The sequence below is a fragment of the Homo sapiens genome, chromosome 1 (genome assembly GCF_000001405.40).
Source record: "Homo sapiens chromosome 1, GRCh38.p14 Primary Assembly".
Classification (NCBI taxonomy): Eukaryota; Metazoa; Chordata; class Mammalia; order Primates; family Hominidae; genus Homo; species Homo sapiens.
In genome coordinates, this window is record NC_000001.11 from 77,660,869 (window position 1) to 77,688,069 (window position 27,201).

The following is a 27,201-nucleotide window of genomic DNA, read 5'->3' on the forward strand; positions in this document are numbered from 1 at the left end:
AATTATATACAGAAATAGTTGATCTAAAAAGAATCACACATTTATGAACACACAATAAACACAAACACGTATTTTTCATTTATAAATATTTTTCTAGGAAACTTCAAACCCAAATTCCTAATTTACTCTAAGTGCATTTGTTACCCTAATTTGCCATCATTAAATTGAGCTTTAATTGCTTTAACGCAAAAAAAAAAAAAAAAAAATCATTGAATGCCCTTTAGGAAAATCACTCAGAACACCATACAGTTAACAATGGTACAGAGGCCAGGCGCAGTGGCTCATGCCTGTAATCCCAGCACTATGGGAGGCTGAGGTGGGCAGATCATGAGGTCAGACCTCGAGACCAGTCTAGCCAACATAGTGAAACCCCGTCTCTACTAAAAAAACAAAAATTAGCCAGGCAGAGTGTCGGGTAACTGTAATACCTGCTACTTGGAAGGCTGAGGCAGGAGAATCGCTTGAGCCCAGGAGTCCGAGGCTGCAGTGAGCCAAGATCACGCCATTACACTCCAGCCTGGGCAACAAGAGCAAAACTCCAACCAAAACCAAAACAAAAACAAAAACAAAAACAATGGTACAGAAAAACCAAGTAAATTTCCAATGCAATGACTAAAAGGGCCCTCAGAAGTTATTTAGCCTAGAAAACATACCATACTGGCTTTTCTGACACTTAGCTGCCCTAATCACAGAGGAATGATTAAGGGCATTGCAGTTAGATACCTGGTAAAAAATTACAACCTCTCTGAGGAGAGATTAACTACTTTTCTCTTCCATGAAAGAAAAAGGCACACCAATCTTGAATAATTATCATTCCATATCAGATTATGGAATGTCTGGCATAAAGTGGGCACTCAAAATTGCTTTCTTTTTCCAAGTTAGAGGAGTCTCTTAAATCACAAGACACCCCCTTTTCATCTCTTGATTATAGTTTCAAATTGCTAACAAGGAATTTTTTTTGTTTTCCAGACGAGGTCTTGCTCTGTTGCCCAGGCTAGAGTGCAGTGACACGATCATAGCTCACTGCAACCTTGAACTCTTGGGCTCAAGCAATCCTCCCACCTAAATCTCCTGAGTAGCTAGGACTACAGGCACAAGCCATGATGCCTGGCTTTTTTTTTTTTTTTTACTTGGTTTTTCTGTACCATTGTTTTTGTTTCTGTTTTGGATGGAGTTTTGCTCTGTCGCCCAGGCTGGTACAGTGGCGTGATCTAGGCTCACTGCAACCTCTGCCTCCCAGGTTCAAGCGATTCTTATGCCTCAGCCTCCCAAGTAGCTGCGACTACAGGCACACACCACCACACCCGGCTAATTTTTGTACTGTTAGTAGAGACGGGGTCTCACCATATTGGCCAAGCTGGTCTCAAACTCCTGACCTCATGATCTGCCCACCTCAGCCTCTCAAAGTGCTGGGACTACAGGCATGAGCCACCGTACCCAGCCTGGCTTTTTTTTTGTAGAGACAAGTTCTCGCTATGTTGCCCAGACTGGTCTCAAACTCCTGGGCTCAAGGGATCCTCCTCCCCTGGCCTCCCAAAGTGCTGGGATTACAGGCATAAACCAATGCACCTCACCCAACAGGTATTTTTAAACATGAAGCAAAAAAACTTAAGATATCACAAATATGGAAGGGTGGGAAATTTGAACATACCCTGTAGTGACTAGAATTGGAAGTATCAGTGTACTCACCCTGAATCTAACCACAAGAAATTCAAACTGAGGGACACTAAATACCTGGCCTAATCTCTTAAAAAATGTCAAGAAATTTGAGGCCAGGCCGGACATGGTGGCTCAGGCCTGTAATCCCAGCTACTTGGGAGGCTAAAGCAGGAGGATCACTTGAGTCCAGGAGGTCAAAGCTACAGTGAGCCGAATTCATGCCACTACACTCCAGCCTGGATGACAAAGTGAGACCCTGTCTCAAAAAACAAATACATAAAATAAAGAAATGTGAGGCCAGGTGCTGTGGCTCACGCCTGTAATCTCAACACTTTGGGAGGCCAAGGCAGGAGGATCCCTCGATCTCAGGAGTTGGAGACCAGCCTGGATAATATAGTGACGCTCCGTCTCTACAAAAAAACAAAACATTAGCCAGGCATGGTAGCACGCACCTGTAGTCCCACCTATTCGGGAGGCTGACGTGAAAAGATTGCCTGGGGCTGGCAGGTGGAAGTTGCAGTGAACCATGATCACGCTACTGCACTCCAGGCTGGGTAACACAGTGAGACCCGGTCTCAAAAAAAAAATTAATAAAAAAAAAAATTTGACTAACTGTTCCAGATTAAAGGAGACTGGAGAGACATGAAATCAAATGCAATGTATGATCTTCGATTTTAAAAAGCTATAAAAATAATTATTAGGATAATTGAAAAAATTTGATTGTGGACTGTAAATTAGATAATGGTATTAATGTTAAGTTTCCTAATTTTGATCACTGTAACTGCAGTTAAGAGAATATCTTAGTTCTCAGAAAAAAAAAGTCTGGTGGTATCCTGGATCTAATTCTACCCTGTAGAACAACTCATTACAGCCCTGCATTACCTGAAAACAACTGTCCCCTTCCCTCCTTCACTCATTCCTGTCAAGTCTTCCTTCTCCACAATAAGCACTCTCAATTCCTTCAAAGGTTCTCATGGGTTACCCTCCTCTTGACATATCTATCTTTTCATTTACTTTTCTTAAAGTGTAGCTTTCAGAAATAAGGCCAACATTGTAAATGTGTCCTAACCAACATGGAATGAATATCATATCCCTTATTATGGACAAAATCCTATTACTGCAGCCTGGTACTTCATTTGTTTTTTCTTTTTTAAGCAACTCACCAGTTGGATGTCTGAGACTATATAAAACTAAACTCCTAATAATATACAATCAGTAAACCCTATTTTTTTTTTTTTGAGACGGAGTTTCGCTTTTGTTGCCCAGGCTGGAGTGCAATGGCGCGATCTTGGCTCACCGCAACCCTCCACCTCCCGGGTTCAAGCGATTCTCCTGCCTTAGCCTCCTGAGTAGCTGGGATTACAGGTGCGTGCCACCACGCCTGGCTAATTTTTGCATTTTTAGTAGAGACGGGGTTTCATCATATTGGTCAGGCTGGTCTCGAATTCCTGACCTCAGGTGATCCGCCCGCCTCAGCCTCCCAAAATGTTGGGATTACAGGTGTGAGCCATGGCACCCGGCTAATAAACCCTACTTATTCTATCACCAAAATGTCTTGGAAAAAAAAAAAAACAAACTATCTACTCTTTCTGTTCTATTGTTATTGCTCCAGCTCAGGCCATCATCATTCTATTTAAACAACTGTAGTAGCCTAATTAATCTCTCATTCCAATTTACTCTTTATTTGCCCACAAATATATCTGTCTTAATAAACACTGTCCTGAATCTGATTTTTCAGTACCTTAAAGAAGAATGGGGAGGGAAAGAAAGGAGATGACTTTCTCCCCTCTTCAATTCCTAGAAAACTCTTATTCCTCAAAGGCCAATTCAATGATCCATCAGAATTAACTACTCTCTCCTTTGCTCCCATAATGCTTAATAATCCTATCATAAAATTACAATGTATAGTTTGATATATCTATATTCCCCATTCAATTATAGGCTCCTCGAAGGAATAGAGCAATACATTTTTTATTCTCTTAGTACATACAGTGCCTTAACATTAATTGAACAAAATTTTACTCATGTAATTTTTTCTATCTGAATTCCATATTTTTTTAATTCCACACTTTTAAGCAGCTCACACTATAGGTTTCTGCCTGTAGTTTCAGACAGAACTTACAAGTTGTTTTAGTTATCCTTGCCAGCTAAATTGTTCTGACATTTTATAAGCACAACTGTACATTTATTCAAAACATTAATGAAAATATTAAAAATGGACAACAAAAAGTACCTTTTTAGATACTTCTCTCAAAGTCTGACATTAATTCCTTCTAACAGTATTTAAGAAAGTTTATTTTACACTATTAATGAAATGTTCTTAATGCTGATGAGCTAAGCCTGTACTTCTCTGCCTCTTCTCCAAGGCATACCTAGGAAAACAATCTCCAAAACTACTGGTTTCCTTTTTAAAAATAAGACCTTATGCTGTTTCTAGTCTTCTGGCATACTTTTTGTTACAACAAATTAACAAAAGCTATCAATACCTCTCAGTTCCTTAATGTCTTTAAATGATCTAAAACCTGTGCTATCAGCCAGACAGAAAATGGATTCCTGGAATCCAATCAAGTGGTGAAATAATCTGGGTGAGGTTTACAAAACTTGATCTGGCAATAGAGTTAAAAAGCAATTACAAAACAATTACAAAAGGTCTTAAACTTCAATTCAGAAGAAACCAACATCAACTTAGAGTTCCACTGTTACCATACAGACAATTTTTACTGACAGTTCATTATGTCCATCTGTGACATGAGAAAAACCACCTAGACAAAGACAGCTTCCAAGGCCAATGTCAAGCTGATAAACAGCCTGTCAAGAGATGGTAACTGAACTGTGGACATAAAGTATGTCACAGGAATCTCAACTTGCTGAAGACAGCAAAACTGTTCCCGAAGGTAAGTGACTGCCCAACGTCCATGATTAATTAGAATATTGAAATTACGTATATCAAACTCATGATACTAATACTGTGTGGTTTAAAACTATCCTAAATATTTTTAAGTTCCTATAGACAATGATAGTTTCTAAATTTAAAATAGTAACTGACTTCACGCTTATGATTTTAAGTTTAAAAGTGTATGAATATTTAGCTTGGTTAATAAGAATACTGGAATGTTTAAGAAAATTTGTGATTCACTGTCTCATTCATTAAATTTAAAATTTTTATATTTACCAATTATAACTCAATAAAGCTAGAGAAAATATAAAATTTTAAAGTTTTAAAGTATTTGGGAAGCCAGGTGTGGTGGCTCATACCTGTAATCCCAGCACTTTGGGAGGCCGAGGCGGGCGGATCACCTGACGTCAGAGTTCAAGACCAGCCTGGCCAACATGGCAAAACCCAGTCTCCACTAAGATAAAAAAATCAGCCAGGCGTGGTGGCACACGCCTGTAATCTCCGCTACTCAAGAGGCTGAGGCAGGAGAATCGCTTGAACCCAGAAGGCGGAGGGTGCCGTGAGCCGAGATTGCGCCAGTACACTCCAGCCTGGGAGAGACAGCGAGACTCCATCTCAAAAATAAATAAAGTATTTGGGAAAATCCTACTTGTTGAAATTTACTCCACAAGGAATAGTGCTTAAAACTAAAACAGTATATCAAACGTATATACGGAATGTAATTAAGTTAAGCAGCAGTAGCAGTGGTAATAGCTAATATTCACACTGCAATGTTCCTAGGGCTCACAACCTTGTTCCAACACTTTACAGTATAAATTCATGCATTCTGGCACGTTGGCTTATGCCTGTAATCCCAGCACTTTGGGAGGCCAAGGCAGACAGATCACTTGAGGTCAGGAGTTTTAAGACTAGCCTGTTCACCAACACAGTGAAACCCTGCCTCTACTAATAATACAAAAATTAGCCAGGTGTGGTGGTGCACGCTTGTAATTCCAGCTACTTGGGAAGCAGAGGTGGGAAGATCGCTTAAACCCAGGAGGTAGAGGTTGCAGTGAGCCAAGATCGTGCCACTGCACTCCAGCCTGGGCGACACAGAGCCAGACTCCATCTCAAAGAATAATAATAATATAAATACTTATATGGACTAAACGTGTGTGTCCCCATTCATGTGTTGAAATCTCGCTCAATAAATAAATAAATAAATTCAGCAAGTATTCACTGACCATCTCCCATGAACTAGGCATCATTCCAGGCTCTAAGAACTGCAGCAGAAAAAACATAATCCCATCCTTCATGGATATTATATTCTTAGAAGAGACAATAAACATCAGGTATGATCATTACTATTAAGAAAAACCAGGGAAAGTGAAGGAAGAAGATACTATTTTAGGTAGTAAAATGAGGTTCACACCAAAGAGCACCATTCACATTGAAGTCTATGTAAATGATGTCCCTTAAAAACTCCCTCAGGGAAAACCTTTCTAGCTGAGGTAACATTTGAACCACAGAAGTGAGGGAACAGGCCATGAAAATATTTGAGAAGAGTATTCCAGGAAAATAAAACAAGTATAAATGCCATTTTACTCAAGGATATTTTAAGGGAGACTTACTGTTCAATTATAATTACTAGGCTATTAATCAAAGTCTTCTCTCACTCAGAAAAAGCATTCTTAGTTTACAATGTGCTAGTTAATAGAATAAGAAAATATATAAGTTGAACCTGAAGACAAGTTTTTACATTGATGATTTTAATTACTCAATATTATTTTAGAAAAGCAAACACTGTGAACAGCTCTACAACCAAAAGCAGCCACTGACATCAATAAACTCAAACTGACACTTCATTGCTCTAAGTATTTTACTGGAATTGGAGCTCTAAATTTCTTTAATGAAAGTAGATGCTTTTTATCATGTAACATACCAAGGAATAAAACTTTGTCTTTAGACAGCTTTTTTTTAACCGTCTCCCTTGCAGTATGAAAACCCTTCTCCTACACTTAAAAGTAAAACAGAATTTGGGTATTTCTCATTATTTAATGTTATCTCCCTAATCAAAAGCCTTCTTTCTTCTTTATTGACTAGTCCTTTTTATTGTCCTTAAGCATTTTTACAAGCCTTACCTCATTCCAGCTCTATCTAGCCTACCTACATTCCTAATTATCTTCTTTTTTTCCTCCCCATTTCCTCTTCATACATTACATAGATTGTGAATGCTCTATTAAGTGAATGAAAGAATGTTTCCTAGCCCTAAACACTACTGTTCACATCACTTTAAATCCTATCAATAAGTCAAATGATTTTTTAAATTAATCTTATATACCATTAGTTAAATGGGTATTCTTTTTTTTTTTTTTTTTTTTGAGAGAGAGTCTCGCTCTGTTGCCCAGACTGGAGTGCAGTGGCATGACATTGGTTCACTGCAACCTCCACCTACTGGGTTCAAGTGATTCTCCTGCCTCAGCCTCCAAGTAGCTGGGATTACATGCACCTGCCACCACGCCCGGCTAATTTTTGTATTTTTAGTAGAGACACAGGGTTTCGCCATGTTGGTCAGGCTGGTCTTGAACTCCTGACCTCAGGGGATCTGCCCACCTCAGCCTCCCAAAGTGCTGGGATTACAGGTGTGAGCCGCTACACCTGGCTAATGGGTATCCTTGATATGTTTTTCTTTTGAAAAAATTTACTTATGAGGAAGTCATATTAATTTCTTTAGATTACTCACGTTTTTCTTCCCCAATGGAATTTTTTTTGTAATTTAAATAACAGGTTTCATTTTTAAGAGCCTATCAGTATTGATTGCTTAAACTATCTGTGGTCATTACCAGTTTCTTTTCTGAACTTTCTGAAACCTGCTTTTCTGGGAATTGCTACCTAAGGTAAACTCCAAGACAGCATAGAATGATCACTGTCTTTTGATTCCCATCATTTCAATTTCTAGCTGGGAGGCATGGAAAAGCATGGGCTTTGGAGTCAGATATTTGTCAGTTACTAGCTGTGTGACAAACTTCTCTGAGCCTCTGTTTCCACATCAATAACAAAGAGCACTTACTGAGCATCTATTTTATATCAAGTACATTATATACTCTCTATATAAGTAGAAAGTACCATATCTATTTATAATAAGGAAAACAAAGCTTAGAAATAAGTAACTTGCTTAAAATTATAGAGCTCATATGATCGCACCACTGCATTCCAGCCTGCGTGACAGAGCAAGACCCTGTCTCAAAAAAAAAAAAAAAAAAAGTTACAGTGCTCTCAGTGCTAGAGCCAGGATTTAAATCAAAGTCTATCTGATTCCAAGTCCATGTTCTTTTTACCACACCACAAAAAAGTGACTATAAACACAGTCCATTTGCCCAAAACAGATGTTCGATAATGGTTAATTCTATATCTAAGTGTTCTTCCTTGTTGGTAAGAATCAATTTCATATCAGCAATTCTCTTCAACTTTTAGGAGATTAAACTACCAGCAAAAACAAGAATTTATCAGAAGCTCTGATCTTTATTATTAGTGAATTATTTAATTAATCAAAACCAAAAACTGTATCAAACTATGCCAAACATATTCTTCAGATATTTTTGTGTTACAAAAAAAAAAAAACAGCCTTATGCACAACGATATCCTAAGTCAGCACACTGTGTGATTATTCATCCCCAGAGTTCTTAAAACACATAGCTTGTAGAGATAAAGCTCTTAAAAGAAAGTGTCATTCTTGAGAGGCATTCAGATCAAGACAACAGAAACACACAGTAGTTTTCCAGAATCCAAATAACCACCACAGACAAGAACTCTGAGGTTGTCAGTATCATCATGGAACTATAGATATCAAGTTTCTCTTATCTTCTCTTTCTCTTCTCCCCATTTCCTCTTCATACATTACATAGATTGTGAATGGTCCATTAAGTGAATGAAAGAACATTTCCTAGCCCTAAACACTACTGTTCACATCACTTTAATCCTATCAACAAATTAAACTGATGTTAAATGAACAGAAATTAAGAGCTAGAATACCATTAAACTTTCTTTCTCAGTTTTTTTTTTTTTTTTTTTTGAGATGGCGTCTCGCTCAGTTGCCCAGGCTGGAGTGAACAGGCGCAATCTCAGCTCACTGCAACCTCCGCCCCTCTGGGTTCAAGCGATTCTCCTGCCACAGCCTCCAGAGTAGCTGGAATTACAGGCACCCACCACCATACCTGGCTAATGTTTGTATTTTTAGTAGAGAGGGGGTTTGTCCATGTTGGCCAGGCTGGTCTTGAACTCCCAACCTCAGGCGATGCACCCACTTCAGCCTCCCAAAGAGCTACTATTACAGGCGTGAGCCACTGCGCCCCGGCCTCTCCGTTTCTTAAAAGTTTAAAAAGGTTTATAGATTAAAGTCTATAGGTTGGTTTTATTACTAAGAACTTCTAAAATGCACCAGCTGATTTAAAAAAAAAAGAAAAGAAAACTGTAATAGGCTGAAGGTGGGAATGACTTAAAACAGGTAAAAGAGATCATTTTGGTGTGACAGAAATGTTCTAAAACGGGATTGAGGTAATAGTTGCATGGCACTGTAATTTTACTAAAAAGCACTGAATTGTGCACTTAAAAAGAATTAATATGACTAACAAATTCCCCCAAAAAACCTATTAATATAATAAATATTGTGACCCCCCCCCCCCATATTACTCCCTTGAAATTAACACCAGCATTTAGGTCTATTATCAAGCAAATCTCCATGTTTTACTTGAATTAAACTCCAAAGCATAATTTTAGTACATGGGAGCCTCCAGATACTGAATTGCATTGTTGTCCTCTTTAATAAACCAGTACTGTCCTTGAACATACAACATGCAATTTTTTTTTTTTTGGGGGGGGGCAGAGTCTCGCTCTGTCACCCAGGCTGGAGTGCAATGGCATGATCTCGGTTCACTGCAACTTCCGCCTCCTGGGTTCAAGCGATTCTCCTGCCTCAGCCTCACCGAGTAGCTGGGACTACAGGCACACTCCAGCATGCCTGGCTAATTTTTTGTTTTAGTAGAGATGGGGTTTCGCCATGTTGACTGGGCTGGTCTCGAACTCCTGACCTCAGATGATCCGCCCACCTCGGCCTCTCAAAGTGCTGGGTTTACAGGCATGATGAGCCACTGCACCTGGCCTAGCATGCAAATTTTTACCAGAAACATTAACCAGTAAGAGCTGCCTTACTGAAATTACACACAAAAACAAAATCTATTAAGGCAACAAAGAGTTTGGATGGATAACAACACCTTGATGAACAGACTTATATGAAAGTTATCAGAATCAAACTGGAGTAGTAGTAGTGTTTGTTCTGTTTTTTTTTAAACAAAACAAAACAAAAAAAAAACACCCTGACAAACAGCCAGGGAAGGCTATGAAGGAAGGGCTGTCATGCGGGTATGCATGATAAAAACTATCACAAAAGACTCTGCAAAAACTACAACCTTATACAAAACGTGAAACAAAAACAAGCCAGGTGCATGGTACATACACACCTATAATCCCAGCTACCCAAGAAGCAGGAAGATTGCTTGAACCCAGGAGTTTACATCTAGCCTGGGCAACACAGTAACACTGTTTTTTTGGGGGGGTGGTGGGGGTTGTTTTTTTTAAAAAAAAAAAAACTTCTGTGAGGACATCTGCCAGCAACTGCCGGTCCAACCTCAGAATGGAGGCACTTTATTGACCCTTGTAGCCAAGAATAATTATCTCAAAATAATTATGAAATCCTCCTCATTTTTCCTTTAAAAACTTTGGTCTTCTTTTACCTCCCTGTATATGCACATGGTTTACTGTAACAACAGAATTCCCACTGCAAAGCCCTATTCCCAAATAAACATTATTTTCTTTTAGAAAGCCTGTTATTTAGGTAGACAAGATCAAAGTATTCAAACCACAGCTATTTCCACTTCTGATTGTTCTGATGAATATGAGACTTGAAAGAAAATTCAAATGTCACTGTAAAATGTGATACCAAAAAAATTCATTAGAATATAATCTATGGCACTGAAACAAGGAAGGACATACATGCACACAAACAGTACTGAAGATACATATGAAGATAGCACCTCAAACTCCAAAACTCCACAGTTTGAGTGCTTAGGTTCAAATCCCAAACCCTCCATTTAGCACCTGTGTGACACCGAGCAAGATATGAAACCCCTCTGCTTTGATTTGCTTATTTATAGAATGAGGGTTACAGTAACCCTCTGTATAAGGTTGTAGGGAGTACTAATGATAATGAATAGAGTATCTAGCATGTATCTGGCCCACAGCAAATATCCAATAAATTTTAGTTATTAGTATTACTTCTATAAGAGTTTTTAAAATCACCTAAAGCAGCTCTTTTCAATCTTCAATATACATACAAACCACCTATGAATCTAGTTACAGTAGTTCCCTCCCCACATCCACAAGCGATACATTCCAAGATCCCCAGTAGATACCTGAATATGAGGATAGTACCAAACCAGATATATACTATGTTTTTTCAATCTGATAACTGAGATGGCTATTAAGTGATTAACCAGTGGGAAGCATACAAAGTATGGACACACTGGACAAAGGGATGATTCACATAACAGGCACGACCAGAGGGACAATAAGAGATTTCATCAGGATACTCAAAAGGGCACACAATTTAAAACATGAATTGTTTATTTCTTGAATTTCCCATTTAGTATGTTCAGCCGAAGGAAAGCGAAACTGAAGAGTGCAGTAGAGACTACTGTAAAATGAGATTCTGATATTCAGAATCTGTTATATGAGAGCTCCGAGTGCAGTGTGAAATTTGAATTTCTAGTAAATTCCCTGATAGGTGCCAGGGAACTATAAAGTTACAAGGATGGTTGTCAAACTTTAGCACACACCAGAATCCTCTAGTGGTTTAGTTTAAAACACATATTTCTGGGTTCCATCTCCAGAGTTGGAGAAAATCTGCATTTGTAAAATTCCCAAGTGATGCTCTGCTGCTATGCCCAGAACCATATACTGTATTGAGAACTATTGATCAAAGGTTCTCTCATCTAGGATATGTAACAGAATCACTTGTAGGGTTTTTGTCTGTTCATTTTGTTTTTTAATGCAGAAGTCCTGACTATACCCAAGTAGTGCTACTCAAAGTGTGGTCTCCTGACGTACTAAATCTGAAACTCTAAGGGCAGAGCCCAGAAATCTATTATTTAAAACAAACAACTTTCAGGCGATTATGATGAATGATAAATACTGAGAACCACTGCCATATAGCTACAAATAAATCAAAATATCCTTGGTGAAATTCTCTTAACTACAGAAAGAGAAGTAGCTACCCATGTGCTTGGCTTAGGTCAAAGTGGAAAATGCTCTGACTAGTTCACTAGGTAGAACAGCATTTATTCAAATTTAGAAGTAACTCTATAACCATTACAAAAGTTAGTTCATCTCTCCCCCATTCTTCAGGAGATAATGTTCCCCTATTGCATGATGTTTCCCCAAAGTCAGACATTTAAACTCTCCAGATTAAAAAACAAGTGATTTTTTTTTAGAAAGTAGGCTAAAACTTTACAATCATTTAATTTCCACAAAAGCTCAGCAAATAAAAGATGACTGAAGTACAGGACTGCTAAGTATACACGTCACTCTTAATCATGACCAAAATACCTAATTTCAACAACTATTGGCCATTTATAATATTCTGGCCCTAACACTTACTGACTGAAATAACTAAAATTCACTTAAAAAGGAAATTAAGCATATCATCCAGGCATATCATAACCATAGGACTTATATGAAAGAAAAATTATGTGCAGGAATACAGTCATAAATCTTTCACTATGACTTTCCTTAAAATTAAGAAAGTGAAATGAGAAGAAAATACAAAAGGAGAACTCCTGAGAAGAAAGTTGCACTTTACGGCCAGGCAGGGTGGCTCACGCCTGTGATCCCTGCACTTTGGGAGGCTGAGGAGGGCAGATCACCTGAGGTCAGGGGTTCGAAACCAGCCTGGACAACGTGGAGAAACCCCGCCTCTACTAAAAATACAAAAATTAGCCAGGCATGGTGGCAGGCGGCTGTAATTCCAGCTACTCGGGAGTCTGAGGCACGAAAATTGCTTGAACTCAGGAGCTGGAGGTCGCAGTGAGCTGAGATCGCGCCACTGCACTCCATCCTGGGTGACAGAGTGAGACTGTGTCACACACACACAAATAAAAGTTGCACTTTACACTTGAAGCTAGCTTGAAAGGGGTTAATAAGCAGGTAAGTCTCTTAGCTGATTCCCAATTTTTTACCAGCCTATTTGATTTTATAATCTACACACCACAATGTTGTACTGTTCATAAATATAAAAGTTGTACTGTTCATAAATGTTAAGTATTTTGAAAGTAAAGTGGCTTAAACTTAAATTGGAATCTTTTTCTTGGTGGGGAGGCTCACAACATGCTTTGAAATAACTGAAGATACTACATGGTATCATAAAAATTAGAATGGGAATCACTGCTTGAGGAATTCAAAGAATGAAAAGCAAGCTACCAAGTCATAAAAGTCCAAAAAGCCATTAGCTGGCCAGGAATCCTGTACCATAGTTTTTAAAACAAAATTTTTAAGTAGGAAAAAAAAAAAAAAGCAGCTGAGGTACTGCATAAGCCATCAGTGACATAAATTTTAAAATCTACTATTTACCCAAATAGCAATAAAACACAAAAAAGGTCATTAAAACACAAAAAAAGGTCTACCACAGAGTTTAAAACAAAGAAGGCTTTTATTTGATGTCCCCTCCTAGGAGTTCTTGAAAACCATGAATGCCATGAGAAAAATGTCTAAGTGTTGAGATCTCAAGGTACAAATCAGGTTGAGTTATAGGATTTCTCAGGTTACTCGTATCAGAACAGGATGAAGACACAATAAAACAGCTGAATCTCACAAACATAACATTGAGCAAAAAAGGCCAAACACAAAAACAATACATACTGTATAAATCCTAGGCTCAAAAGCAAATAAAATAATTCTGTGGTACTAGACATCAAAAGAGTGATTTCTCTTGGTGAGGGGTGGCACCTAGGGACCATTAATGACCGGAATAAACACACAAGTTTCTGGAGTTCTGACAGTGTTCTTCTTAGTGACGATTACACCAGTGTGCTCACACTGTGAAAATTCACTGAGGTGTACATTTATGAGAACTTTCTGTGTGTATTATACTTTAATTGTATTTATCTTTATTTAAAAAGAAGGAAAAAGAGGAGATTTCTCCTTAGGAAAAGACACATTGGCCGGGTGCAGTGGCTCACACCTGTAATGTCAGCGCTTTCGGAGGCCGAGGTGGGCAGATCACTTGAGGTCAGGAGTTCAAAACCAGTCTCCCCAACATGGCAAAACCCCGTCTCTACTAAAAATACAAAAATGAGCTGCACATAGTGGCGTGTGCCTGTAGTCCCAGCTACTCAGGAGGCTAAGTCAGGAGAATTGCTTGAACCCAGGAGGCAGAGGTTGCAGTGAGCCGAGATCACACCACTGCACTCCAGCCTGGGCAACAGAGTAAGACTCGGTCTCAAAAAAAAAAAAAAAAAGAAACATTACTGCAAAAACACCATAAAAATCTACATATAGTGAAGACAGTTCAGGTAAGAATCATAGGTTTGGGGTGGAGAGTGGAGAGTTAATATAGAGAAGTATTACATCCCCAATAATCTATGGAAATAAAAAAATGTAAATAAAAAAAGAGAGAAGTATTACAAAGTTCTTCAAGGGCTATTAGTGGATAAATCTCACACACACCCCTTTGCCAGGAGAAATAATCTTGGTAGTTCCCTCTATAATACAGCCAAGCCACCTAAAAGCATTATTTCATTTTATTTATGAAACACATCAATCTGCTTTCCAACGGGAAAGTGTGTAACAACGGCAGGATCTATTTTCCTTTAACTTCTGACCAATTAAAAAAAAAACTTTAAAAACTAGTAAGGAGGGTAAATAGTGCCAGAATATAATTAGCAACGCTATTTCCTGGACAATTTCAGTGACATTTTGAAAAAGCAACTCATCTCTCATGTGGCAGCCGAATTCCAGTAGGAAAAAAAGGTGTTAAGTTATGTTCCAATCCCTTTAAATCTCACCATAACCCAAGACAGAAGGAAATTACATCACATCGAATTGTTCATCTTCAGTTCTCTGTAGGTGTTCTTCAAGCACAGGACACACTTTTTTTTTTTTCAAATATTTATTATTTTTTCACACTCAAAGTTACTTAAATCTGGCTTTTCTTACTAGCATTATTGTAACCAGAAAAATCTGTAAACAGAAAACATTAAAGCCATTTAATAAAATTAACAGCTTTGTAGCCATCACAATTTCAAAATGTAAACAAACATAAATACCTTTTTTCAATTATTTTGAGATCACAAATTATTTCATAACAGAAAAAAAGGCATCATAGTAAACAGTAAGCACTCTCAGTATTAAAAATGCTCTTTGACATAGATACCTTCCTAAAGCTTACCTGAATGTCTATGCTATTAAATTTCAGTAAATGTATCATATTGCTATCTCAACATTTGAAGAAGGTATTGTGATTCTGTAACCTGAGTCCTACAGCTGTTAAATGAAACTTTTTCACTAAATATCTTAGAGGTATATGATATCAAGTTGTATACTGCTGTTTAACACTTTAAGCATACATCCTAAACTGTTAATCTTAGGAGTTAATTTCTCTAATTCCCCAAAATCTGCCAAAGTAGTTTTACTCCTTACAGTCTCTAGTACTGTACTTGTTGGTTGGGGGTTTTTTGACAAGGGTCTCACTGTGTCACCCAGGCTGGAGTGTAGGGGCGCAATCTGGGCTCATTGTAGCCTCAATCTTTTGGGGTCAAGTGATCCTTCCACCTCATCCTCCACAGTAGCTGAAAGTACAGGCGCACGCCACCACACCAGGCTAATTTTGTGTATTTTTTGTAGAGACGAGGTCACACTATGTTGCCCAGACTGGTGTCCAAATCCTGGGCTGAAGCGATCCTTCCACCTCAGCTTCCCAAAGTGTTGGGATTACAGGCATGAGCCACTGTGGCCAGCATAGTACTTTTAAGTAGTTTCACATTTTATCTCTGTTCAAAAAGGGGGAAATTTTCATTTAATGCAACCAAATTATGTGGTATGGAAAAATCTTATTTCAAATTCTGGCTGACAAGAAAAGGAATTATAAAACATTGTTTTGTTAAAAAATAAACTTTATTATCCTCAACTTACAGTAATCTTAAAAATAAATAAGGAAACAAACACCACAATAAGAAAGCCAAGGCAAAAGATATTAAACATATCACAGAATCATCTAAAAACAATATGAATGTTCTTAAGGCTTGGGGTAAAAATAAACAATTTAAAATAAAAATGATTAAAATGTAAAAATGAAGCATAACAAAAAAATGAGAAAAATTAAAAAATTAAATAAAGCATTATTTAACAGAGTTGAGAAAATTACCAATTTGGAGGAAAACATTTAGATTCTCATTTCACACCAATGCCAGATGAGGTAAAAACTTAAATTTATTTAAATCTAACTTAGAAAAACTAAACAAACAGAATTAAACCAATATTGTTTATTACAGTTCTGAAAAGGGAGGAATTTCATAAAATCAGCAGAACAAAATTATATCAAGATGTTTGGGCCAGGCACCGTGGCTCACCCCTGTAATCCAGCACTTTGGGAGGCCGAGGTAAGTGGATCACCTCAGGTCAGGAGTTCCAGACCAGCCTGACTAACATGGTGAAACCCCATCTCTACAAAAATACAAAAATTAGCCGGGCGTGGTGGTGTGCATCTGTAGTCCCAGCTACTCAGGAGGCTGAGGCAGGAGAATTGCTTGAACCCGGGGGGTAGAGGCTGCAGTGAGCCGAGATGGTGCCACTGCACTCCAGCCTGTGCAATAGAGCAAGATTCTGTCTCAAAACAAACAAACAAAAAGATGTTTGACTGCAATAATGTTAAAATCTATTTATCTTCAAAGTTCACAAGATAAATACATCTATAAACATGCTTCACCTCAGTAATTAAATAAATAAAGCACAATATGTCATACACCCCCATTAAACCTTTATAAAAAATGTTAAATGTTGATGAGTATAGGGTAACAACCACTCGAAAGAGAATACAAATTTATCCCTTTTGATTAATATTGTTCAGTATGTTTTAAGAGCCTTCAAAATGTACCTAAAAAATCAATTCTGGCAATATACAAGAGAGAGATAATACTATATACAAGAAACATGTATAAATATGTTCTTCACATAGGGGAATAACATATGTTCACTGCACAGAACATTTTACAATCATTTATAATGATAGTTATTAAGATGCATTGTGAGAATGGGAAAGTGGTACCTAACAGTAGGTTAAAAAGCAGGACATGAAATTAAATGTTTTTACCCACAAATACATAAAAAATATACATTAAAATAATGGAAGAAATATATCAAAATGCTAATAATTGTTATATTAATTCCCAAAATCTAATTCCTCAAACCAGCTTTCAAAATCATTAAAATACATACACACCCCTTATACACAAGTCAAAGACTATCTACTTTACCACTAATGGAAGCATAAGGTTTAAATTAACATAGTAAATGAGACAGAGGAGGCCAGCAATGCAATGAAAAAAACTCACTACAAAAACCTGGCACCTTAGGACACTTGGGCTAATAGACTCAATACCAGGATTCAAAACTATACAACTGAATCATATGCATAGGTCATTTACTAATTCTAATTATCTGCTTTACTATCTTCTCCATTAGCAAATGTGCTAATCTTTAGGCAATTGGTTGTTCATTACTGATATCAAATATTAAATGTAATAGAGCCTTGTTTGGGAGTAATTCCTTGAAATATTAAGTAGAAAGATAAATAGGTTAAAATAATAAAACAAAGGAAGTTCCATACACAGTAGCACCATTTTTATTTGGTGTCATCTGATAAGGAGAGATCTACACGTAAATTTTCCAGAAAATTGAAACTTAACATTTAATTAACAGAGTTTTGAAAATGGTTACTTTTATAGCAATCTCAAAAGACACCAATTTCTTACTTCCTTAAACATAGTACACAGAATAAAAGTTCATTATTAAAGTTATCATTGTGATGCATCAACTTACTAGGCTGCTCTACGATACTGTCATTCCTTCAGAAGTTAATGATTATAGGAGTGTATGTATTTATGTAATGGCCTTAAAACACTATTCTACTATAGTTCCACCTACTTTTTAATAGTTCTTCCTTTTCCCCTGTAGATGACATTTCAGCTGCCAATGTCCCTAACTCCAATGGCCAACACTGAAGATTTTTATCTGTGGACTAATTCCAATTAGTAGTTTCCTAATAAAGGCTAATGGCTTATTATACTTGGTTGCAGTCATTTTGAAGGCTTAGAGATTTTTTTATGTCCAGGATTGCTGTTATGTTTCAAATGGCTGAGGTCATTAGCAATAAATGTCAGCTGAATTACTGCCTCTAACTTACAAATATACTGAAGTTCCAAAACAACAGTAATAATAATATCTGAATAGTTTGATTAATCACAAAGTGATATTCTCCTCAAGGCAAGTTAGTCAACTCACTCCTCTCTAATAAGACAAAAATTACCTACATAAATGAGAAAAATCAGCTGAAAAGAAAAACAGAAAGGTGAGAACGAAAGGGTCAAACAAAATAATCAAGACTTTGGACTTTGGGAAATATTTACTGAGAGTGGTTTTCAGAGTACAATTATAGTGGTTATCAGAGCATTAACTACAGAAATTTGCACCAGAGTATATACCAAATCTCTAGTAAATACTACTATAAAAATGAAACTCTTCTAGCAACTATTTCTTGTAGGTGACTCCAAACTGAATTTTCATATGAAATTTAGGTGTTTTTATTTTATTTTTGACACAGGGTCTCACTCACTCTGTTGCCCAGGCTGGAGTGCAATGGTGCAATCACAGCTCACTGCAGTCTCAACCTTCTGGGTTCAAGCAATCCTCCCTTCTCAGCCTCCCAAGTAGCTGGTACTACAGGCGTGCACTACCAGGCTAATTTTTTTTCTTTTTTGGTAGAAACGTGGTCTGACTATGTTGTTGCTGGTCTCAAGCAATCCTCCCACCTCGGCCTCCCAAAGTGCTTGTATTACAGGCGTGAGCCACCAGGCCCAGCTTAAGGTAACTTAAAGTTACAGGTCTGTGGAAATTGGCATGGTGTCAGACCTTAAGGAAAAAACTCAAGTGAGAATAAATCAGTATTATTATATTATCACTGTTAATAGTTTCCTCTGATCACTGAAGTTCATTAGCTCTCATCATTTATATGACCGTAATAATTGAGAAAAGTGAAAATTAAATTTCTTGGTTATTTAAATTTTACTCAACCAAACACAAACCATGTAAAAATACATTTTTCCTCTTCCTTGGATTTTTCTCAGTATATTTCTACCAAGTACCTCAAATAATTTCGTGTCTGTAAAAGACTGGTATTTCCCAAGACCCAATACTGAAAAGTTTATAAAACAAAAGTTCTAAGAACAAGGAACATATATTATTTCATAGATCAGATGCACGTGGACTATTAAAGGCCCAGTTACCAAGCTAAACTTATGTAGATACCTTTGCAAAGGCCATTGTAGAACTGTGACCTTCAAACTCATTGTCATTTTCACAATTTCCCACTTCTAAAAATAATAATAAAACGTACTTAACAAATGTTATTTAACAGAATAGCTTTATCTAAAGTAAAGAATTCACAAGGTTTCAATTAAGTATAACCTTAAGCTGCTGACTTTTATGACAGGAAATATCTAGCAATTCTGTGAATAGACCCAGAACTATCTAAAAAAGAATAGGAGGAGAAAGTTGCCTCAAATACCGACTCGGGCTGTCCTCCAACTATTATGAGCCTGACTATTCTTGCACCATGGCTCTTGCCTCACTGTCAACCTTCTACATTCCTCTTTTCTCCCCAACTTGTCCAATTCCATTTCAGTATCAACCTCTACACTCCCAATGTCCCCTTTTCCTCTTTCCAACATCATACCTCTCAACACTCACTTCTATTCCTCAACATTTCTACTTGCACTGTTACAACAAAAAACCACATTGCCCAAAGAGTGGACAATTCTCTTATGTGACTGGTCTGATAAATATTATTACTGGTAGGTTTGGCGGGGGGAAATTACAAAAACAACACTTACAAAATGATAGCCGCTTAGCAACTTCAAGTATATATACCTTTGTTTGTACTAACTACTAATGTCTACCACTCTCCAATTGAGATCACTAAGTTGCATGGTCAAACTATCATTTTAATCACAGTGATAAACTTTTAAAACGTCTGAAAAACTCCTATATAGTTAGGTTACAGTTTAGAATATATAATATATAAAGTTAAATACATAACACACATTAAAGATAAAAATATAAAACTCAAGTGATAAAACATTAATTTATTTAAATCTTGTTTTACATGTACTTTCTTTCTGTGCAAAGCTACCAAGCACAATAAATCAACTTTACTGCAAAAATAAGTTACTTGTGATATTTTCACAAGATTATACTACCAAAAAAATCAGTACAAACAAAAAAAATCTGCGTAAGTATGCATACGTAAGTCTTGACAAACAGGCATATATCACTAAATAAAAATTTAATTTAGTTAAAAAATGTTTACTGATTGCCAATATTGTGTTGGTACCCCATTAAAACAACACTTTCTCCCCTTCATTTAAGAAACAAAAACTAAACCAAAATATGGAAATATCTGGAATGATACACAGCAACCACAAAGGCTGGTTACAGAGATTTAAGACTGAGGAATGGAACTTTGTGGTACCGTGAAACAAGCACTGTGTTACTCTATACTATATACCTCTCTGTATTATGTATAGGAAAAAAAAACACTTTTGTAGTTTTAAAAAACAAACTATGAATAAATTAACTAGTCACCTGATTCGTTTTGTAATTAACTCCCCACTCCTTATTTAGTACTGCAACTACTAAATAAAATCCAAATACTACTTAAGAATACGAAAAAACAAAGGTATACTGTAAATTCACTTCTGAGACATTAGGGAATTGGAGAGAAATATTAAATTGATTTCAAACTCATTTAAGAAAAATAAAGCTCAAACTCTGATGCCAAAATTTATGAGTTTGCTCTTTACTAAAAAGTTGACCTGAGGCCGGGCGCGGTGGCTCACGCCTGTACAGTGCTGAAATCCCAGCACTTTGAGAGGCCAAGGCAGGTGGATCACTTGAGGTCAGGAGTTTGAGACCAGCCTGGCCAACATGGTGAAACCCCGTCTCTACTAAAAACACAAAAATTAGCCGGGCGTGGTGAAGCGCGACTGTAATCCCAGCTACTCGATACTCGAGAGGCTGAGGCAGGAGAATCGCTTGAACCCGGGAGGCGGAGGTTGCAATGAGCCGAGATCGCCCCACTACACTCCAGCCTAGGCGACAAGAGCGAGACTCCGTCTCAAAAAAAAAAAAAAAAAAATCACATGAAACAGTCTGTTACCTTAAATATATAACCTAAAACAACCATCCCTAAACTTCAAAGATGGCAACCTCAGTAACACAGTAGTAATTAAAACCCTACCGATAACTGAGTTAATAGGCACGTACAAAATGATGAAAAGCAGGATTTTATTCTGACCACAGGTGTTGTCAGAGACATAATGGGCCCTCCAAATACTGCCAAAAGTTACTGAAAATACGAAGTCAGGGTGATGAGTAAATGACACCCAGAGAAAATAGATGGGAGGAGTTCTGTTTCAGGAGACTGGAGTCAGGTACTGCAGCAGAAAACGCGACACAATAGTTAACCGGTCTGGAATACTTTAGAAAATGGCAAGAAGGGAAAAACTGACAAGAACATCTTAAAGTAAGAGGAACGGTATCCAATGGAATCATCAGGTCTGCGCGAGCACGGCTCCCGGACTTCCAGTGAGTGGGACAGGGTGGAACTATCACTGCGTGGGGAGAAGGACCTGGCTGAGGGGTGCATATGCTTTTGCAGGTGGTGGAGCGCCCGCAGGGGGATGGGGAGGGCAGTGTTGCCTCAATGGGGTTACTGTATTCCCTTCAAGACTATGGGAAGCTGATGCAGCACGTATCCCGGCACCAAGAGGCACTCGCCCCGGGCCCCTCCCTAACGACTTGCCTTGTAGAAAGAGTTGCAGGTCCCAGGCCCCCGGAACCCAAGGCTCCGCCATCCAGGACAACTGCTCTGCCAACGAGGTCCCGCGAGAATCGAGAGATCTCGCGATACAAACCCACTCGCATCTCGCGAGCTTCCACTAGACCCAACATGGCGGTACAGAAAAAAATCAGTATTTCGGAACTTAAAAAGCACTTCACTAACGGAGTAGTGAACATTTAAAACACTGAGACAGTAGGAAGTCTTTCCGCTTTATACGTCTCCTCCTTTCCCCTTGTACAGAAAAGCAGAAATCTTAAAAACCTCCGATTACCACGATTATACTACATAAACAGAGCGCAGTGCGCTGCCCCAGGCAGCCTCCCTGTCACGTGGAAACATTTTCGGCGTGCCCGTCACGTGGGCCGCTACTGAGCGAGCGCGCTCCCGACGCCCTCCCAAAAGCCCTCCCCGCCCCCCCTTTCGCCCGCGCACACGTGCGCGCGCACCCCCGCCCCACGTGGGGGCTTCGCCGTCGCAGCCGTCGCAGCCGTCGCAGTCGTCGCCTCCAGCCCACCCCCTCCCGGTACTTGGCTCCAAATCCGGGTCCCAAGCCGATCGTTTCCCACCCCCATTCCCTCCCCCTTCATTCTCCCTCCCCCGTGTCTGGCCCTCACCACGTGTCCCGAGCTCTTGCTCACCTTTCACGCGGGGTCGGACGCAACGGGCCACTTGGGGAGGCGCCGCCGCCGTGGCCGCTCTCCGCCCCCGCCACGGCACTTGCTCGGGTGGCCACCGCTGCAGGAAGCTCGATAGCGGCGCCGCGGCGCTTCCAGGTGGGTCCCCGCCTCCCGCTCCTGCCACTTCCCGCAGCACCAGCGGCTCCTTCCGGTCCCCTCCTTTCTCCTCGTTGGGACTGGCGGGCGGCGGCGGCGGCGGCGACCGCTGCTGCTGCTGTTGCTGCTGCTGCAGGCGCGCTCACTACACCGCCTGCTGGTAACCGCGGCCCGTGCAGCGCCCGCGGGTCGGGCGCCGCCGAGGCCCTCCCCGGCCAGTCCCTGCCCCTGGGCGAAGTTTGGTCTTCCGAGGGCGGGTTGCAGTCCATCCCTTGCAACCGTCCAACCTGGCCCTAGCAGAGGAAAGGCGTCCTCGTAGCTCCGCCATTGGAAATCGGCTTCATCCTGCCCTTTGTGGCCTCCTGAGAGATTTGTAAACCCCACCTCCCTTAGCACTGTGGTCTCAAGCCAGGAGAACATCCATACATGTATTTATGATCGTGCTTCTGCCTCGCCTCGTTCACCTCTGGCTTGTACCACAGCACGCAGGCTCGAACCACTTCGGGCCTTTGTGCTTGCCGATTTCTCTGGCAGAACATTTCCTCCAGATTTTTTTTAACTCCTCGATGTTCGATGCATATTTCAGGTCCCTTCTCAGAGGGCTGCCCAGACCACTGTATCCAAAAAAAGTACACCTGCACCATTGCTTTAACTCTTCACCTGCTTTTATTTCTTCATAACAGTTACAACTTCCAGACCTTATTTGTCAGTATCCTCACCACCAGAAATGTAAAATTTTTAAAAGCAGGGACTTAGTAAACTGTTTTGCTCATTGCTGTATCCCCAGAATTGTGTCTGGCACAAAGCAGTGCTCAGTAATATCAAAACAGATCTACCAACTATATTGAGCATGTAGGAAAATAAAGCCCAACACACATTAATGAAGATAAATAACTTCATCATTTATGAGCTGTGGAAAAACAGCTAAACCTCCTTCCGTGGCTATAAAGATTATGTTCCAAAAATATAAAATCCAGTGGTAGAAGCCGTTAACTGGGGCTCTTCTTTGACAATTGTCCAGTGCTGTTTCATTACTTTTGTTTTCCTTTGCAACACTATTTTTTTTTTCGGGCAAGTGGATACGTGTTGTGCCTTCTTTTATGTTGCTAATAAAAGTTATTAAATGTTTTAAATGGTGTTTTGTATTTTAGCTTTGAGTTCAACTCAAAGTAACATCTACTTCAAGAAAAAGGGTTACATGTTTTTAACACATCAAGTATTTATTGAACATACTAGTGTTTCTGGGTGGCAGTATGTCAAAAAAAAACGGGGGTGGGGGAGGCCGGGCGCGGTGTCTCAAGCCTGTAATCCCACCACTTTGGGAGGCCTTGACAGGCAGATCACCTGAGGTGTCAGGAGTTAAAGACCAGTCTGGCCAACATGGCGAAACTTCGTCTCTACTAAAAATAGAAAAATTAGCCAGGTGTGGTGGCACACGCCTGTTATCCCATGTAATCCCAGCTACTTGGGAGGCTGAGGCAGGAGAATTGCTTGAACCCGGGAGGTGGAGGTTGCAGTGAGCCGAGATCGTGCCACTGCACTCCAGCCTGGGCGACAGAGCAAGACTGTCTCAAAAATAAAAAAGGAAAGATAAAACATACTAGTGCCCTATGCTAAGACTAGAGATACAAAAATAAACACGTTTCCCTACCTTGCTCTTTCTACTTATAGAGCCAAATCCTATTATAATAACCATACTTAGCATGCTTTTGATTCCTATGTGCCAGGCCAAATGCTGTGTACTTTTCTATGTTACCCTATTTTAGGCTTCTGACAATCCTATGAGATATATACTATTTGTGGTAGGCCTTGAGATGCACTTTTCAGACCCCACTTCAGGAATAAAGAACTGAGCTGCTGCTGCCAAGAGTCATACCCACAGCCAGCCATCGGTTGTCAGCCCCTTTCAGGCATGCCAGTGTCACAGAGTCATAATGTTCTCAGAGAGGCCACATCCAGTGACTGATCAATGCAGGGATAAAAGGCTCAGCCCTCTCACCTCCATTTGGTACAATTCTGATGGATTTTCTCCTCCTGCAGAACAACTTGCAGGATCAGCTAAGGCATTCCATTGAGACTTCACTGAAGTCCAACTTCTGCCCAGTTCAGCTTTTCTTCCCTCCCACAAGTAATGATCCCAAGAGCATTCCCTAATAAATCTCCTGCACACTAGTCATGTAAGAGTGTGCTTCCTGGGAACCGAGCCTGTAATATTATTTGTATTTTTCTATTGATAAAGCAAGTAACTTGCCCATTTGAACTGCAGAAGTTTCTATATAGATACATAAAGTACTGTGGGAGGGGAGGAGGGCTTCTGGGAAGGGCTTCTTACAAGGATTGGCATTTAAGTTACAGGATGACTTTGCTAAGAAGAAAAAAATAATTCTTGGATGAGGGAACTGCATGAATGAGTATGTGAATGGGAGAAAACTACAAGTAACCCCAAATGGCTGGACTGTAGGGTCTTTGGGGTAATCCCTACAGGATAAGGAGAAAGCAGTTCATGGATGGTAAAGAGGGTAGCCAAGAAAAAACTCTAGGCCTGAGAATAACTCTTAGCCAAGTGGAAAGGGATGGGAGCCCCTGAGATCCTCAATTAAGAGTAGGAAAGAGAAGCTTCATTGCTCCTGGAAAAGGGAACCACTGCCAACCTTGCTGGCAAATACCACTCCCTAATTACGACATGTATATTCCTACATGGCCTTTGTTATTTTTTTTTTCTTTTGGAGACAGGATCTCGTTCTGTCGCCCAAGCTGGTGTGCACTGGCACAGTCTAGGCTCACTGCAGCCTCCTGTGTCCCTTGTAGCTGAGATACGCACCACTGTGCCCAGTTAATTTTTGTATTTTTTATAGAGATGAGGTTTTGCCATGTTGCCCAGGCTGGTCTCAAAACTCCTGGCCCCAAGCTTCCACCCACCTCAGCCTCCCAAAGTACTGGGATTACAGGCGTGAGCCACCACGCCTGGCCCCCTTTGTTATTTTGACCTAGGATCACGTTATATTGAAGATGGAAGATACATTAACATCAACTAATTCAGCAGTTTGTACAATATTTTCTGAAGCACTGGAAATTTCTTGTATACTCATATTCTTATGCCAGGATCCAATATTTGAGCCAAATAAAACAGGACCTGGGAGGAGGCAACCAGCTGACATTTTCCTCAGTCCCTTACCACGACACATAAGATGCTACCTCAGAACACACTTTGAAAATCATTGATGTAGTTCATTCTTTCAACAAATATGCCAGGTGCCATACAAGGTGCTAGAGATACAGTGGTGAACAAAGCAAGCACAGGCCCTACTCTGACAGAGCTCACAGTCTAGGGAGGGAGGCTGACATTTAAAATATAATCACATAAATTCAAACTGGTTAGTACCATTCATGAAAAGTGCAGGTCACCCGTCTGGGAAGTGAGAAGCGCCTCTGCCCAGCTGCCGCCCTGTCTGTAAAGTGATGAGCCCTCCTGCCTGGCCGCCCAACTGTCTGGGAAGTGAGGAGCGCCACTGCCCGGCCACTGCACCATCTGGGATGTCAGGAGCCCATCTGCCCGGCCCGCACCGTCTGGGAAGTGAGGAGCACCCCTGCCCCGCCGCCTCACCTTCTGGGAAGTGAGGAGCACTTCTGCCCCGCCCCCATCCCGTCTGGGAAGTGAGGAGCACCTCTGCCCCGCTGCTCCACCATCTGGGAAGTGAGAGCACCTCTGCCCCGCTGCTCCACCGTCTGGGAAGTGAGGAGCGCCTCTGCCCTGCCCTCCCCCCTCCACCCCCCCCCCACGCCCCCCGCCACCCCACCGTCTGGGAAGTGAGAAGCACCTCTGCCTGGCTGCTCCACTGTCTGGCAAGTGAGGAGCGCCTCTGCCCAGCTCCCGCCCCGTCTGGAAAGTGAGGAGCGCCTCTGCCTGGCCACCCAACTGTCTGGGAAGTTCGGAGCGCCACTGCCCGGCCACTGACATCTGGGATGTCAGGAGCCCATCTGCCCGGCCTGCACCGTCTGGGAAGTGAGGAGCGCTTCTGCCTGGCCCCCACCCCCTCTAGGAAGTGAGGAGCGCCTCTGCCCAGTCCCCCCATTGTCTGGGAAGTGAGGAGCGCTTCTGCCTGGCCCCCACCCCGTCTAGGAAGTGAGGAGCGCCTCTGCTCGGCCCCCACCCCATCTGGGAAGTGAGGAGCGCCTCTGACCGGCCCCCACCCCGTCTAGGAAGTGAGGAGCACATCTGCCCGGCCCCCACCCCGTCTGCGAAGTGAGGAGGGCCTCTGCCCGGCCACCACACCGTCTGGAATGTGAGGAGCAAGTCGGGGAAGTGAGGAGGGCCTCTGCCCGGCCGCCCCGCCCCCCACCCCTCCTTCCATCTGGGAAGTGAGGAGCGCCTCTGCTGGCCGCTGTGCAACCCTCCAAGTGTGAAGTGACAGCCTTGTGCGTGCTCTTTCTGCCCTCCCCAAGTTTGCATTTTCGACATTAAAGTTTACTTTTTTTTTTGAGACGGATCGCTCTGTCGCCCAGGCTGGAATGCAGTGGCGCGATCTCGGGTCACTGCAAGCTCCGCCCCCCAGGTTCACGCCATTCTCCTGCCTCAGCCTCCCGAGTAGCTGGGACTACAGCCACCCGCCACTACGCCCGGCTAATTTTTTGTATTTTTAGCAGAGGCGGGGTTTCGCCGTGTTAGTCAGGAT

General features: G+C 40.7%; 1 protein-coding gene across 19 annotated transcripts in view, besides 7 other annotated features; it reads right to left on the minus strand.

Moving 5' to 3' along the window:
* ZZZ3 (zinc finger ZZ-type containing 3) overlaps positions 1–22,530 on the minus strand; it is a 120,983-nt gene extending 98,453 nt beyond the window's left edge. For 10 of the 19 annotated variants that reach the window (NR_164775.1, NM_001376151.1, XM_047417341.1 and 7 more), the window contains exon 1: positions 22,394–22,530. The gene's annotated coding sequence lies outside the window, so the exon portion shown is untranslated. Of the gene's footprint in view, positions 1–21,716; positions 21,791–22,393 lie in introns of those variants that run through there. The other 9 variants (NR_164777.1, NR_164776.1, XM_047417342.1 and 6 more) reach the window with 1 other exon arrangement.
* Positions 1,236–1,735: an enhancer, noted in NCBI's record as "H3K27ac hESC enhancer chr1:78127789-78128288 (GRCh37/hg19 assembly coordinates)". NCBI's record gives its function as "activates a minimal SCP1, AML or CMV promoter by ChIP-STARR-seq in primed H9 embryonic stem cells {active_cell/tissue: H9 hESC(primed)}" and the evidence as "EXISTENCE:reporter gene assay evidence [ECO:0000049][PMID:30033119]".
* Positions 21,846–21,925: an enhancer, noted in NCBI's record as "active region_1216". NCBI's record gives its function as "activates an Ori minimal core promoter by ATAC-STARR-seq in GM12878 lymphoblastoid cells {active_cell/tissue: GM12878}" and the evidence as "EXISTENCE:reporter gene assay evidence [ECO:0000049][PMID:35858748]".
* Positions 22,306–22,725: a silencer, noted in NCBI's record as "silent region_1002". NCBI's record gives its function as "represses an Ori minimal core promoter by ATAC-STARR-seq in GM12878 lymphoblastoid cells {active_cell/tissue: GM12878}" and the evidence as "EXISTENCE:reporter gene assay evidence [ECO:0000049][PMID:35858748]".
* Positions 22,736–22,795: a silencer, noted in NCBI's record as "silent region_1003". NCBI's record gives its function as "represses an Ori minimal core promoter by ATAC-STARR-seq in GM12878 lymphoblastoid cells {active_cell/tissue: GM12878}" and the evidence as "EXISTENCE:reporter gene assay evidence [ECO:0000049][PMID:35858748]".
* Positions 22,736–23,516: a biological region, named in NCBI's record as "H3K27ac hESC enhancer GRCh37_chr1:78149296-78150069".
* Positions 22,743–23,516: an enhancer, noted in NCBI's record as "H3K27ac hESC enhancer chr1:78149296-78150069 (GRCh37/hg19 assembly coordinates)". NCBI's record gives its function as "activates a minimal SCP1, AML or CMV promoter by ChIP-STARR-seq in naive H9 embryonic stem cells {active_cell/tissue: H9 hESC(naive)}" and the evidence as "EXISTENCE:reporter gene assay evidence [ECO:0000049][PMID:30033119]".
* Positions 22,946–23,045: an enhancer, noted in NCBI's record as "active region_1217". NCBI's record gives its function as "activates an Ori minimal core promoter by ATAC-STARR-seq in GM12878 lymphoblastoid cells {active_cell/tissue: GM12878}" and the evidence as "EXISTENCE:reporter gene assay evidence [ECO:0000049][PMID:35858748]".